Source organism: Homo sapiens, chromosome 5 (genome assembly GCF_000001405.40).
Source record: "Homo sapiens chromosome 5, GRCh38.p14 Primary Assembly".
Lineage (NCBI taxonomy): Eukaryota > Metazoa > Chordata > Mammalia > Primates > Hominidae > Homo > Homo sapiens.
This window is the reverse complement of record NC_000005.10, coordinates 124,619,156-124,634,929: the sequence shown is the minus strand read 5'-3', so window position 1 is coordinate 124,634,929 and position 15,774 is coordinate 124,619,156. Positions and strand designations below refer to the sequence as shown.

The window sequence follows — 15,774 nt, the reverse complement described above, 5'->3', positions numbered from 1 at the left end:
CCCCTTAGTGACTAATAATAGGGTTTATTGATTTTACTAAACATTACTCATTCCAGGCCTGCTCATATCAGCTTGTCCTGAACATATGCAAAAAGCCTGCAGTGCTGACACAGTGCAAATTAACTTCATGGAGAAATGGGAGTGAAGAGTTGTTTACAGCTGTGGTCCCCTTGAATACAGAATATTAAAAACCAGGTAATAGGCTCCATACAGAACCATTTATTCCTAGATTACAATCTCAGATGACTTTTTCATGGAAACTTGCCATTGCTGTTCAGCCCAGGTCATTAACACTTGCAGAGTAAAACGTGTGGCCTTATACATTCACACTGGCTGTGACCCTGATTTAGTGTGGTTTCAGCCCAAGGGTCTGTGAGTAACCAGAATGAATAGCTCTGATTGATGCAGGATAAAAACAGCAGTTTAAATGATAATTACTGGTCATTTCATTCCTTCCCTGACTCTGAAAGAGACAAGACAGGCAAAGCCATTTATTATTGTTTTTGTCACTAACCACAGTCATCCATTCCCTGCTTTTTGCAGTAGCCTGAGTCATAAATGTTGTTTACTTTCAGTTAACTTTAGAAGAGAAAACAAAGCAAGGCCCCCAGTCTGACTTTTCATTTTTCTTAACAAAATCACTCTTTAAAGCAAGGGGTGAGTTCTCAACCTTGGCACTATTGACATATGGGACCAGATAATTCTTTGCTGTGGGGGAACTGTTCTGTGCATTGTAGTATATTTAGCAGTACTCCTGACCTCTACTCTGGAGATACCAGTAGCAACCTCCCCAACAAATTGTGACAACCAACAGGTCGTATGAAATTTAGAACTCATGCCTAGCCCCTGCCCCACAGGTAGAGTGCTGAGTTCTATCGTTCTTTGTTGCTTTTGGAGATAGGAAAGCCATCGATGTTTCCTTGTAACTCGATGTAAACAGAATGGGGATGCTCATTTGACCAATGTGGATAAAGTTGGACCAGACCTCTAGCTCTTTAAAAAGAATTGGATGACCCAGATTTTAACATAATAATTAGTAGTTCTTTTAGGTTGAAGATGAATTCAATTTTAAAACCACATCTGAGGGCTGGATTCATTTCACAGCACGTCAATTAGCAGTGCTAGCCCACTAAAAATACATATTATTTCTTCTGGAATGAAGGCTGTCAGTGGAAAACCTGGAAAAAAATGGATAAATCTTAATTGAGTTGCTGGGATTGAATTCAGATTTTCTTCACACAGGGAGAGGCATTTCTTTCATACACAGGAACAAACTTTGAGAGATTCTCACATACACTATACATTTCAGTGAAGTTTTTTTTTTTCACTTAGACATTTGAAAATAAAATGAAAGGAAACATCAAAATCTGCAATATGGAGAAAGTTAAAGTATCCAGGGCTATCATGAACACAAGGCATGATAACACCCATGGACAAGTCTAGGTTTAGGTCTGATCAGACTAGCCTGACCCTTGGCCAGCTGTTGTCATGTTCCTGTCTACCTGGAATGGCAAGTAGTACGATGGAACAAAGCTTCTTTCCTGTGTCCATAACGGACGTGGCTAATCATTGCCGCATTCTCTCCACCTGAATGTGTGTGAGACCTCATAACAAGTTTCTCAGTGCAGCTTTCCCAGTAGTCCCTAAAAAACAGACCAAAGTTGACACGCAACATGAAGGCTGTTTGCCACCTCTGCAAGAAACTAAACTCTTATGGGACTAAATCATGACCCCTATAACTTTCAAGGGTGTCACCCTCACAACCCCCCAATTTCAGGCAAGGAGACTTAACATGGCACTATTCCTCCTTTCAACTATTGGAAACTTTGGAAGTTATTTATTTACCTTCAGTGTTTTAAAGCACTGATTTCTTCAGTCAGAAAAGTTGGGGAACCAGAATCGTTACTTATTGACCCAACTTTCTACTGATTTATGGAGGTGTTATCTTTTTCTCTTTTACTTTCATGCTATCATCACATCTTTGGCTCTCCTGCCACCCTCTTATAATGATCTTTGATTAGATAGAATCCATCCAAATAATCCAGTATCATCTCCTTCTCTCAATGTCACCTGATTAACAATTTTAGTTCCATCTGCAATCTTAATTCCCCTTTGCCACGTAACAACCGTTTCACAGATTCTGGGGATTAGGACATGGACATCTTTGGGGGCTACCACTCTACCTGCCACACCACCCAACACAAATCCCTTTCTGCCTGGGCAGTATTAACACAATAACAATAGTATAATAGTTCTACTGTATAATATACAATATTACAACTGGTATAATGACCATCATCAAAATTATAGTATATTTACTTTGCACTTCACATGTAAGAACTCATTTAGTTCTCATAATCACCCAATTACTATTCGCATTTTAGAGCTGGAAAAACTGAGGCATCAAGCTAAAGTAATTTGCCCAAGTTCACACCACTGTGTAAGTGACAGGACCATAACCCCTATGTTATACTGCTTCAGAGAAGGGATAATACACTCCCTAGGGAATTGACAAGATTTTCCTTTGCTAAAGTGCTTATTATTTCAGAGGGGAAAATAATGGTGTGTCTCTCCAGGCTGCTATGAGACAAAGCCTCTGTGCAGCCTGTGCTGGAGCCAGGCATCAAGCCCTTGTTAAACTCCACATTCCAGGCCCAGGATCCTGAGAGCCTAGCGGCTCTTCAGTGCATTGCTGGCAGAGGTTGCTGAAAAGGTTACCTTTTTTTTTGTTTTCTCATTGTCATGGCAGCCCTTGCCTCTTTCAATACTCTACCATATGTATCTGATGACTAGAAGCTCAGAATACAAGAGTTGGGCTTCACGGGAACTGGTGCTTGGGTGTCAGAGGCTGGTGGGAAGGCTGATGCTTTTGTGATTCTGGCAGAGACTATCATGGGCTCCTACAAAGGGTCATTCCAACGTTCTGACAAAGGGCCCCAAATTTGTACTTTCAATTATCTACAAATGATGTCATTCTCACTGTCTCAGGGGATTTTTGAAAATATTAGAAAGAAGGATGCTCAAACCTCAGCTTTAACTCTTTAAATACCCTCCCCTAACCAGATCCTTCTCCAGTGTATTTTGTGTGTACTGAGGGACAAGGGAATATGTGAAACATACTTACTTGCAAGATGTAAACATTTAAATTATAATTTCTGCAATGTTATATTGAAATTGCTTCTTTATTTCGATATGGTGAGAGCCTCAAAAAATGAATGCCTAGATTTTTCTTGGCTTCTCAGAGGACTTTGCTCTAAATAGTATGTGTTGGGGCAAAATACAGAAATTGATTGAAAAATTCTTCCTAATAAGGGTGGCAGGGGCCACTGAATCAAGACATCCTGGCCCCATTTAATCACTGGAGGTCACTGAACTATAGGTCTGAAAGAGAAAGTAGTTCCATCTTCCTCACCACTCTCCAGAGAAGGTAGTCCAGCCACCCAACCTAGACCAGATCGGAATTTTCCAGGGTGGGGGAAGTGGGGTGGAATCCCTAGCCTAGTAGGGATGACCTTTCAGCGTAATAACCATGGAGAGGGAGACTGTTTCTAGCAAGGCTGCTGTACAGCTGGATGTTTTCAGCTGCCTGTAACAGAAACCATGACTGAAACTGCCATCAACTGCAAGGAAATGTGTTCTCTCCCCAATGCTGAGCCAAGAGCAGGGTAATCTCCAGACATCATCCCGCATGCTGCTGACTCTGCTTCTCTGTGATACTCTTTGCTCAGTCTTCCTTGGGCTTGTCCCCTGTGTTATGGCCACATGAGTTCCAGATCTCTCTCTGGAGACATCAGTGTCCAGGGGAGAGAACTGTGTCTTCCTGTGTCTCTTAGGAGGGAAGAAACCTTCCTCAGATGCCTCTGGCAGGCATCTCTCCCATATCCTTGGCCAGAACCAGGCCACATGGTGACTCCTGAAACATTACAGGAAGAGAATGGGATTGCCATGAGTTCCTCAGGCTAAGAAGGATGAGAATCTGCCCCTGAGTCATGCATGGGAGGAGTGGCTCATGGCTTAGAACTAGGATTCTGTTGGGGAGAACGAAGGGGGGGATGAATGTTTTGTCTGAGGCATGAAACTTTCTTTGAGGCCAGTGAAACGTGGTAGAATCTCTTAGTGTCCTCTGGGTTCTCCTGAGGTGTGAGTCTGGGATGGGTGCTGGTGGGAGGCAGACAGTTGTTTACACTCCAGCAGAACTCACAGAGACCCTCCGCTGTAACTGATTTTTCCTTAGAGAATCTGGTGATTGGGTAGAATTAGGATAGCGGGCACAGGGCTGCACTGAACGCACTGTTCCGAAGGAACATGAAGAGATTCAGAAACCTACCGTCTTTCTTTTCTCTCTCTTCCATGACACAGCTGAGTAAGACTCTATGGGTAGGAGGAAAGGTGCCACTCTCTTCCACCATTCCCTAGCACACACGCACACATGCATACACACACACACACACACACACACACACACACACACACACACACTCTGCTCTTCAGAGGTTCCCCAGAACTTACAGCCTATAAGAAAGAACAGGGACCTACCTTCTCCCCCAAAGCAAGTTCTGCACTCTGGACAGAAAAGAGGAACTCAGGACCATTTTTACTAGAATTTAGACATAATTAGGAGGGGTGGGTGGAGGGGTGAAGGGACTGGAATGTTAGGAAGGGCAAGCGTTGAGCCCTGGTATACCAAAATTGGAAAGAGAAAGAACAAATTAGCCCACTGGCAGAGGGAGAATCTCACCATATCAGGAACAAGGGAGATTCCTTCAGGAGAAAGAGAAACCAGGCTTTAGCTTGGGGTCTCTGACTTAGAGTTATCAACGTTAGGAAAGGGCGTTGACCAAGTCTCAGAAAGCCATCTCACTCTTGCTGGAAGGGAAAGAATGGGTGGGCAACCCCTAGAACTTCCAGCTGGGTGGGGGCATAATCCTCTCTGCCTTTGGCCCTCTCTCCACTCTCAGCAGAGCAGAATGTGTCTGGTAGGGAAGAAGAAAAAGGACTGGCCTCATTTTCCTGCCCCTCTACCAACCTGAATTTGTCCCTGATTGGGTGAGTGGTGGGCGAGTGACCCACCCAGCAGATCTAGTGACTGCAAACCCTTGGGGTAGGGTTAATTCCTTCAAAAGAAGGAATTTTGAAAGTGGGTGAGCAGGTCATGAGACAGAATTCATTCAGGAAGTATTTCCTGAGTACCTGTGAGGGGCCTAGGTACTGGGTGCCCAGGTCCTGTGTCCTGGGGATAGGGTGCCCAGGCCCTGCCCTCTCCCACTTATAGACAGAGTGGGGCACCCCCTCCCACCTCTGGATGAGCACATAGATGTCTCCGTAAAGCTGAGCAAAGCTGAACTCTGCAGACCTAGTGCTGGCCAAGAAGGTCTGCCATGAAGACAAGCACTCACTGTGAGACTCTGCCTCGAAAGCTCATAAACCTGGGAGCCTGCTGTGCTCAGCCTCAGAAACCCCCAGGTGCCCGTGTGTCTGCCATCCCCAGCCCCCACCATCCCCTCAGTGATAAGATACTGGGAGGCAGACCATAAAAGGTGGATTTTGTGACAACAGCTTGGTGACCAGACCGTTCCCTCTGCTGAGGGCTGCTGAGGGCTGAAGCAGGGATGACTCATGGAGAGGCCCCAGCAGACAGCCGAGGAAGCCTCTGACCCTGCGGTGCTGTGGGCTGGGCCATCACGGGACACTGGGGAGCCACAGATGTGCTCAGAGGTAGGGATATGCGGTGAGTCACTCCACCCCTGTCAGGCACTGGCAGGGAGCTGAGGAGTCAGAAGCAGAGAGAGCCAGCGCCGAGCTCGCCCGGTGCCTGTGAGCAGCCAGCCTCTAAATGGCTTCCAGCTTGACAGTCCTCACACTGTGGCAATGTAGCTTCTGGAAGCCTATGGGGCCCAGGGACATTCCTCTGACTGACTCCAGTGGATGAGGTGTGCTCAGGGTGTGGTGGGTGAGCAAGTGGCCTTCCCGGGTCAGCTAGAGGGACTCCCTTGTCATCGTCCAGTGGTGGAAATTGATGAATTGGCACCTAACATGAATGCGATATCCTCCTGGGAGGCTGAGAATCTCTAATCTTGTCCCACTCGATGTCAGCAACTCCGCAGGCCTGGAAGCCTCCCTCTGAATGCTTAGCAGGGCTCCCCTGTGTACCTCCTGCTTTCCAGGGCCACTGTGCCTTGGTCAAGGATGTTTAAGGCGTAAATCACAGAAATCTATTCAAGCAAATGTAAGCAAAGTAGACAGATGTAAGAACAGAGGGGTTCTTACAGGAGCAAGGGTGGCAAGTGTGTCCAAGCTTCCTAGGGGCTGGCACTGGTGGGACCTGGGAGGTCTAGGCACCATGGAAGCTTCTCTCTCACACACATCGTGGTTTGTTTTGTCGCTGTTACTCCTCCTCTGCCTCATTCCTCTCTCTGCACACTGGCTCTCTCTGATTCTCCAAACACATGACCTCGCCTGACTGGCAATACTCTCTGTCATCTTCCAGTTCTAATTGCAGATTCTCAAGAGAAAGGATGGAAGTGGCCAGGCCCAGGGGCCACAGGATAGAATGAACTTGCTGAGGGAGTGGAGGCTGGGCAGTGTGGGGCGGGAACAGTTGCTAAGCTGGCTCCTATTTTTGGCTTCTTTTGACTCCCCACACCACTTTCATCTAAGCCCTTTGTCGAAGGAATATTTATGACTAGGAGCAGAAGTTCACGCAAACCAGCTTAGTTACAAAGAAGGTTTATTGAAAGCGTATAAGAATCCGTCTCACTATCCAAGGATAGGAAGGGAATTGGCAGGTCATAGTGGTTGTTGGTGTCTAGAAAATCCCTAAATCTCGCTCAAATATCACATAATCTCTTACCCCTTCTTCTCTTGGTGTCTCTGTCCCGTTCTCCCGCTTCTGCAGACAGACCGTTTCTACCTCTTTGTGACTTCCCTATTCTTGTAATTGAACGTGGCCTGAAATTGCTATGGAGCTCACGAGGGCTCGTTTCTCACCATCATTTAACTGACCTAGCCTTTCAGTTTGCACTCCAAATTCCTGTGCCAAGTGCAGTGGATTTCCATCCAAGGAATAACCAAATGTGGCTGGGCCGGATTTGGGAGAGGCGTATGGAATTATATAGGACTGTCAACACTCCTGTGATTCCAAGGGTTTTAGGAGCTCTGTGCCAGCAATTGTGGGGTGGCAAAGACCATATACATATATACATGTGAACAAGTGGTCTTTTCGGGTCAGCTAGAGGGACTACATATACATATATATGTGCATATATATGTATATATAGTCTACATATACATATATGTGTATATATATACATATGTATGTATATATACACACATATATACATATATGTATATATACACACATATATACATATATGTATATATACACACACATATATACATATATGTATATATACACACATATATACATATATGTATATATGTATAGTGTATATATGTATGTATATACACTATATAGTGTATATATGTATGTATATACTATATAGTGTATATATAGTGTATACAAGTATATATATATATACACTTATTTTTTATACCACAAAATAGAAATGTCCCCCTTTTCCCTGAGTGCTTCCTCTTTTGTCGTACTTTACTTTTTCCATTTTGTTTACCATCAAATGACATGTTAAATATTTGTTCGTGTATCTGATTATGGCCTCTCCTGCCATTAGAATATAAACTCCATAAGAGCAGGGACCTAATCATTTTTTCCTACTATTCTGTCTCCAGCATCCAGAACAGTGTTTCGCCTAAAACAGGCACTTAAGTATTGTCAGATGAATGAGTGAGCAAATGTCATGTCAGGATACAGTAGAGATGCCATTGATCTGCCTCCTTTCTTTGAGAATTTGCCTCACCCACAACCTCTAGAAGGTTTTATTTTTCATAATGAACCCTTTTGTACCTTACCTGACTTTACGCTAATGAGGTTACTTTTGGCGGGCCCTTAGGTAGTTTCAGGAAGGGGCCGGTCATCAGAGGAACCAACCTCGTGATTAGAGGGTTGGAACTTTTGCAGGGAAGAAGGACTGGAGATTGAGTCCTGTCACCAATGGCTGGTGATTTAATCAGCCATGGCTATATAATGACCCTTCAATAAAAACTCTTCAAAAACAAGGTTTAGGGAGCTGGTGAACGGGGCTGCTGAACCCATGTGCTGGGTGGTGGCATGCCTGGGGAGGGCATGGAGGCTCTGTGCCACCCCTGTCTCCATACCTTGTCTTACACATCTCTTCTATTTGGCTGTTCTGTGTTGTATTCTTCATAATAAAACTGAGATTATAACTCTTTCCTGAGTTCTGTGAGTCACTTTTGCAAATTATTGAACCACAAGGGGATCATGAGAAGCCTCAAATTTGCAGTTGGCTGGGCAGAAATGCAGGTAGTCTGGGGACCCCGTTTGTGGCTGGCACCTGAAGTGAAGGAAGTCTTGTGGGACTGAATCCTTAACTCTGTGGATCTGCACTCACTCCAAGTAATGTCCGAATTGAACTGGGTTGTAGGACACCCAGTTGGTGTTAGAGAATTGGAAATTGTTGTTGGGAAAATGACATAATTTTCTGTAGGAGGTTCAGGGAAGAGACATCTGAAGGCACTAAAGGAGCAAGTCATGCAGATGTCTCAGGAAATGTTTCAGGCAGAGGGAAGAGCAGGTGCAAAGGTCCTGAGGTGAGAATGTGTCTGAAGTGTTTAAGGGAAAGCATGGGAAACATTGTGGTTGGAATACAGGTGAGGGGCAGAATGGCAGATGAGGTGTCGTGTGGACACAACCTTGAGGCAACAGTAACCTTCAGCTACACAGCCAGGCATGCTATCCTGTAATTGTGGGACAGGCAGCTCACAGATTTAAAATGCACAGATCAGAGTTTGCTGAAGCATTTAAACTAAAGCATATAGTGAGAAGCAAGTTGAATAAAATGGAGTGGAGGCCAGCCATGGTGGCTCTTATGTGTAATCCCAGTAACACAAGAGGCCGAGGTGGAAGGATCACCTGAGGCCAGGAGTTCAAGACCAGCCTGGGCAATGTAGTGAGACCTTGTCTCTACAAACAAACAAACAAACAAACAAAACTAAAAAATTAGCTGAGCATGGTGGTGCATACTTGTAGTCCTAGCTACTTGGGAGGCTGAGGCAGGAGGATTGTTTGAGGCCAGGAGTTTGAGGCTGCAGTGAGCTATGATTGCACCACTATACTCCAGCCTTGGCGACAGAGTCAGGCCCTGCCTCAAAAAAAAAAAAACAATGCGGTAAGTTAATGCACCTAGGCTGGGGAGTACAAGCAAATGGAAGGGCCACAGGACCTGATAGGGTTACACAATGATTGTATATCTTGTCGGTCTTTGTGCTGCCTCAGGCTTTCCTTCTGGTAATGTGGTTATGAGGGCCCAAGTAGAGGACGAAGAAGACGGAAGGTGCCTGGAGTGAGCACATGTCTGCTCTATTGGAGAGCCTGGCCAAGGGCTGTAGCATTAGCCTGATGAGCAGTTAAGGGCTTTATTTGCATCTCCAGGGTAGGGGGCAGCTGAGGCCCTGCATGGTTGTCACTGAGTGGCTGAGATAAGACTTCACGGATAGTGAGTGCTTCGTGACCTCATTTAATATTTAGGATACAATAAATATTTAGTGCTTCATGTTTCTCATGTATATTTGGGGTATCATGAATATTTAGTATTTACTTGGTTCTTCCTTTCCTTCCTAACTAGGTTCACACATATATGCTCTACTTACTTTATCCCTCTAAGGTATCTCCCAGGTAAATAATTTAATTATGCTTAACACATCTAACGATTTGCATCAATTTCATTTATTTCTTTGCCTTCTCTAACAGAATTGAATATTCTCAATTCAGCAAATGGTCATTGCATGAAGCCCAAGAGTTGTGTGTGTGCTTGGGTGGGGAAGGTGACACATTCATTACGATCTTGTAAACTCTTGTAAGAACTTCATTTTTACTTTAAAGAGAATGAAGGAGCTGCTTGTTTAGATGATTCGTTATCACATGCATGGAAGATTTTAGGAAAGGCAGGAGGTAAGAAAAATTATAGAAGATGGTGCCAGCTGCTTCTTTGTAGAGTGGTATTTTATAAAAGCTGCTGAGAATGTGAGTTATGGGTGGTTGGCGGGGGAAAGGATAATGGGTATTAATTTCACTTGTTTGCCTACCAGTCATTTCGATTTTGCAATGATACCAAGGTGAGAAGACAGTGTGGGATAAGGCAGCCACCCCAGGGTGAAAGAAGGGACTGGGCAAGAGCAGCCATGGGTCAGCCTAGAGAACAGATCCAGCCAGCTCTGGAAGGAAGTTTAATGGCAGAAGTTTGCAAGACAGGAGGAGATAAATTAGCACCTTTAAGATCAAGGGACACGGTTGCTTTTTAACTGATTGTTCAATTTTTACAATAAAATTGGCTTTTCCCCCAGGATGTCCTGTTTCAGTTAGTCCTTATCTATTTCCTTCTGCCCATTTGAATATATTTTGAATAATATGATATTTTATACTTTGCACTAGTTTCATGATTTGAGTTAGCTGGGACAGAACACCAACATATTTCCTACTAATAGAAATGTTGAGCCAGGTGCGGTGGCTCACGCCTGTAATCTCAGCACTTTGGGAGACCAAGGCAGGTGGATCATCTGAGGTCAGGAGTTCGAGACCACCCTGGCCAACATGGTGACACTTCATCTCTACTAAAAATACAAAAATTAGCAGGGTGTGGTGGCACACGCCTGTAGTCCCAGCTACTTGGGAGGCTGAGGTGGGAGAATCACTTGAACACGGGAGGCGGAAGTTGCAGTGAGCTGAGACTGTGCCATTGCATTCCAGCCTGGGTGACAGAGTGAGACTCCATCTCAAAAATAAATAAATAAATAAATAAATAAAATTATCTGGCATGGTGGCAGGTGCCTGTAATCCCAGCTACTCAGGAGGCTGAGGCAGGAGAATCTCTTGAACCTGGGAAGCAGAGGTTGCAGTGAGCTGAGATTGTGCCATTGCACTCCAGCCTGGGGTGACAAGAGCAAAACTCCGTCTCAAAAAAAAAAAGAAAGCAGTGTTGCAGTGTTTGTTTATGAAGCAAAAGGGCATAACAATCTCATCTGATATAAAACCCTGAAAGCCAATTTAAGATCTACTAAAAGAGTCAATTAAAAATGTTTTTGTGCAGTATAATTGTTTTCATTTTTTTCTTTTTTTTGGAGTCTGTTGTTGAAAAGAAATTAAGGGAATATTCCTTTTTCATGTTCCTGTAACACAGAACTAGCAATTGCATTTTATTTATTTGTAAGTTGCAGAATATGTTTCTTAAAAAAATCATAAAACTTATGAAACAACAAGAGTGTACTGTTAATGTTTCTGCCAGGCATGGTGGCACACGCTTGTCGTCCCAGCTACTCAGGAAGCTGAGGTGGGAGGATCACTTTAGCCCAAGAGGTGGAGGCTGGCTGCAGTGAGTCGTGTTCACACCACTGCGTTCCAGCCTGGGCAATAGAGTGAGAGACCCTGTCTAAGAAAACAAATGAACAAACGAACAAGCAAATAAAACTAATAAGTAAAATTAATACATGAAAACATAAAGGTAATTTTATCTGTATTTGTAATAAAACATTACTTGACCAGCAAATGTGAGATGTTAGTGCCCTAAATATACCTTGACACATTGGTTAGCCATATGGAAAAAAATTAGCCTGGAATCCTATATAATGCCTTACAACAAAATAAATTCCAGATGGATCAAACTTTTAGTGCAAGTATCACACTACTAGAAGAAAATGTGGATGAATTTATTTCTATTCTTGGAATTGGAGCAGTGCTTCTGTGCATAGCATGAAATTCAGAAGCCACATAGGAAACGATGGATAATTTGATTACATTTTAAAAATTTTAAGTTGCACTTGGGGAATAACATCATAAATAAAGTCAAATAGCAAACAGGAAACGGGAAAATATTTGCAAAATATACCTCAGGCAAACGGCCAATTTTTATACTCAAATTATTTGTAAAAAGCATTGAGCCAGCAACCTCACAGAAAAGATGAGCAAAGGGTATAGACAACTGTTAACAGAAAAGAAACTGTGATGACTGAGAAAAATATGAAAAGATGGTCATTTAGTGAATTAAAAGGACAACAGATTATTTTTTCATCTATCAGTATGACAAAGGTTAAATGTTGGTGAGTGTGTGGGTGCAAATTCCTGCACCGTTGGTGAGAAATTTACTAGAGACAAATTTGGCACTATTTGTCAAAAATGTAAATGCACATAATAATTTCCTTTTCGGAAATAGTCTATAGCCCTTCACCCTCAATTGCACAAAGACACTGTACAAAAATGCTCATTGCATCATTTTAAATCACTGAAAACTACCTAAATGTCCATCAGTGTGTTCTAGTAACAGCAGGGCCACAGTATACTGCCTTGAAAAGGATGAAATAAGTCTTCATGTATTTACACGATACAGTGGCCATCACATATTGTTAACAAGTGAATTCGCTAGATACTATGTATAGGGTTATAAGAGTACAATCTTATTTCTGTAGAGACAAAAAACAATGAATACATGTTTATATATGTGTATGTTTGTGTGTAGATGTGTACGTGTGTTTGTGCAGTATATTTATATTTGGAGAGAAAAACCTGGAAAGCAAAGTATTTCAAACTGTTAGCAGCAGAGATTTATGATGAATGGGAAGTGGAAAAAAGTAGTCTGGGGGGGAGGAAATATTGTTAATTAATATAATTATGAACTATGGTTTTTTAAAATGAAAGACATGAATCGCTTTAAAAATAAACTGACTTTTTTTTCACCAACAATATATGGCATGATGTGTCTCCAAATTATCTCTATCTCTTTTGGTATTGCTACCTCTATTTAATTTATTTCTATTCAATTAATTTAATATATATTAAATAAAGGGAGAATGTTTATTAGTTATATAATCTTTTACCGTGATGGTAATGGCTTTGATTTATACAAAATTTGTCTTTGGCTATTAGCGATTAATATTTTATTCTAGCATAACATTATATGCATATTCTTACAGGCTTAATGAGAAAAGTGCCCAAATGGAGTAGAAAATAAATAGATATCTTTATTAATAATAGGCTAAGTACCCTCTTATGGTACTTAATATCTCAGAGTTAAAAATAGACATCTTGGAGTTAAATATATCAATTGTGAAGCTGTCTATCTAACGTTCTTTTAGCAGATGTCTTATTTTGAAGTAATGGAGAAAGTCTTATCATTTTAAGAATGCGTTGTGATGGGCAGTTAGGAGCAAGTAGTGGACTCCTCTGCACTGTGAGCTGCTGCTTTGAAAAGAGCAGTTTATATTCCTTACGTGTTTAGCGAGAAATGAGTTTGGTGAGGGACTTGTGATTAGTTAATGCCCAGAGTAACAGAAAGGCTTCCTTCCACCTTCCCTGCTTTTCTCCTGCTTAGTCTCTAGGGACTGGGAGTCACTGATGGGACCAGGAACGGTAAGCAGGCTTAAGATAGCTCTTGATGTAAAACAATTGCCTTGTATTGCCATCTCGTATACTCATATATTTCTATGTCAATGGAGGCAAGCCTAGATCTTTTGTATATATATGCAAGTATTTTGTATTTGCCTGAATACCTTTGCCCAACCTTTTCATCCCAAGCTTTCTGAATCATTTGTTTTGGGTGTGTCTCTTTTAGGAAGGGTAGAGATAAGTTTCTTAGAAACTTTTTTTGAATACTCAAATTTAGCTCATTTTATTTATGGCTCTAAAATATATGTTTGTCTCTGTTCTGTCATATTATTTTGTACTATGTTATCTTTTTGCTAATTTTGACATTGTAATTCTTGTGATATTTGAGAAGGTTTATATTTTTGTGCAAATATTTTGCACAACTTGCTTGTGTTATATAAAAGTGTAATTACCCCATACAAAGGCTTCTTCATCCAAAGCCTCCCTTGTACAAGGCTCCCTTTATTTAGTAACACCCATCCTCTTTGTTCCTTACCATCATCCATGATACGATTAGTTGATGTTCTTTTCCTTCTCTGTGTACTCTCCTTCCTCCAAATTTAGTCTTATCATTTTTGTTGTCGCCTTTGTAGTGCTAACCCTTCCACCACTTGGTCAATATTAAATAACATTCCCTTGTCCTCACCTGTTTTCTATCTTCTACCTTCTCCTCTCAATTTTTATTATTTTTAAGAGGTTATAAAAACATGTTCACACCTAAAACAAAATGAAACCAAATTCTTACTGTAAATGATGTGATCTTTTTGCCTAGCTGTGCAGAATATTACTTCTTTATCTTAAAATTCCCATAACTTTATTAGAAAAGTGCTCAGATGGAGTAGCAAACGAATAGATATCTTTATTAATAATAGGCTAAGTACCCTCTTATGGTACTTCATATGTCAGAGTTAAAAAGATTATGTTGCCGGGCATGGTGGCTCACGCCTGTAATCCCAGCAGTTTCGGAGGCCGACGCAGGCAGATCACCTGGGGTTGGGAGTTCGAAACCAGCCTGACCAACATGGAGAAACCCTGTCTGTACTAAAATTACAAAACTAGCCGGGTGTGGTGGCACATGCCTGTAATCCCAGCTACTTGGGAGGCCGAGGCAGGAGAATCACTTGAACCTGGGAGGCAGAGGTTGTGGTGAGCTGAGATCATGCCATTGCACTCCAGCCTGCGCAACAAGAGCAAAACTCTGTCTCAAAAAAAAAAAAAAAAAAAAGAAAAGGTTATGTCTCAGTGTTGATTGTTCTATTTTGGTTTCCCTAATACAAAATGTGCCTTTTGAATGTGTAGATACAAATCTTTGTTTATTTCAGGAAAGTTTATTTGCTGATGGTTTCAGAATACTTGCTCTGTTTTACATTCCCACCTTTGGAGATTCCAATTATGTGTACATTGAATATCCTTGATTTCTAGATGAATTAGATACATTTTGTCTTTTATAACCATTATTTTCTGTACAAGTCTTTAATTTTTTAAAAAATTTCTATCTTGTTAGCTTATTGCATTTCTATCTTTAATATTTCTTTTTGCGTTTTTTCCATTTCCCCCTTTGCTCCTTCCATTTAGAAAAATTCATTTCTTTAATTTTTTTCTTGTATTTATTTCCTAAGTTCTATCAGTGATATTTTATACTCCCTTGGGTGCTTAGTCTTCTCTGTGTTCTTATATTTTTATTTTGTAGTCTTGCTTTATGGAGGTAATTTTTTATTACTTTAAAAAGTCACGATACTTTTGTGATTATGAATTTTATCTACTCTATGGCAATATCTTTTTAACGAGTGTTTTTTTAAACCTATTTCTAAGTTTTAGTTCTGTAAAAATGTTTTTAAAACCACATTGTACTAATTATGTTATACGTAATTGATTGGGTTACATTTTCCTAGACCACTTATTTAAAGGATGTTTTTGTTAGGAGTAGGAAATAGGGCAAGATAAAATTCCAGGCTTTGTAATGGTTCTTCTTCTTTTTTTTTTTTTTTTTTTTGCTGTCTTAGAGACGTTTTGCTTCAATATGATATCTCTGTGCTCGGCAGGCTCTCTTTTCTTCTCTGAACCTGATAGCATGATCGTAGCTCTGTTTCATCTCACAGCAGTCTTCTGTTTCGTTTTTCACTTCTTAGTGGATCCCTCTCATTTTCAGCTCATGTATGTTTATGCTTTTTGGGATGTGCTGTGAGTTTGGGCTCCTTCATCCCTTGCTGGGCTGTTCCCTGATGCTTCCAGAACATCTTCCTTTGGGGCTCTGCCTAATCTCTGCT

The 15,774-nt window shown here is 41.6% G+C and overlaps 2 annotated features.

The window, feature by feature from the left end:
- Positions 2,500–2,794: a silencer, noted in NCBI's record as "tiled region #9682; K562 Repressive non-DNase unmatched - State 13:Ctcf". NCBI's record gives its function as "represses a minimal TATA promoter and a strong SV40 promoter by Sharpr-MPRA in K562 cells {active_cell/tissue: K562}" and the evidence as "EXISTENCE:reporter gene assay evidence [ECO:0000049][PMID:27701403]".
- Positions 3,657–3,706: an enhancer, noted in NCBI's record as "active region_23011". NCBI's record gives its function as "activates an Ori minimal core promoter by ATAC-STARR-seq in GM12878 lymphoblastoid cells {active_cell/tissue: GM12878}" and the evidence as "EXISTENCE:reporter gene assay evidence [ECO:0000049][PMID:35858748]".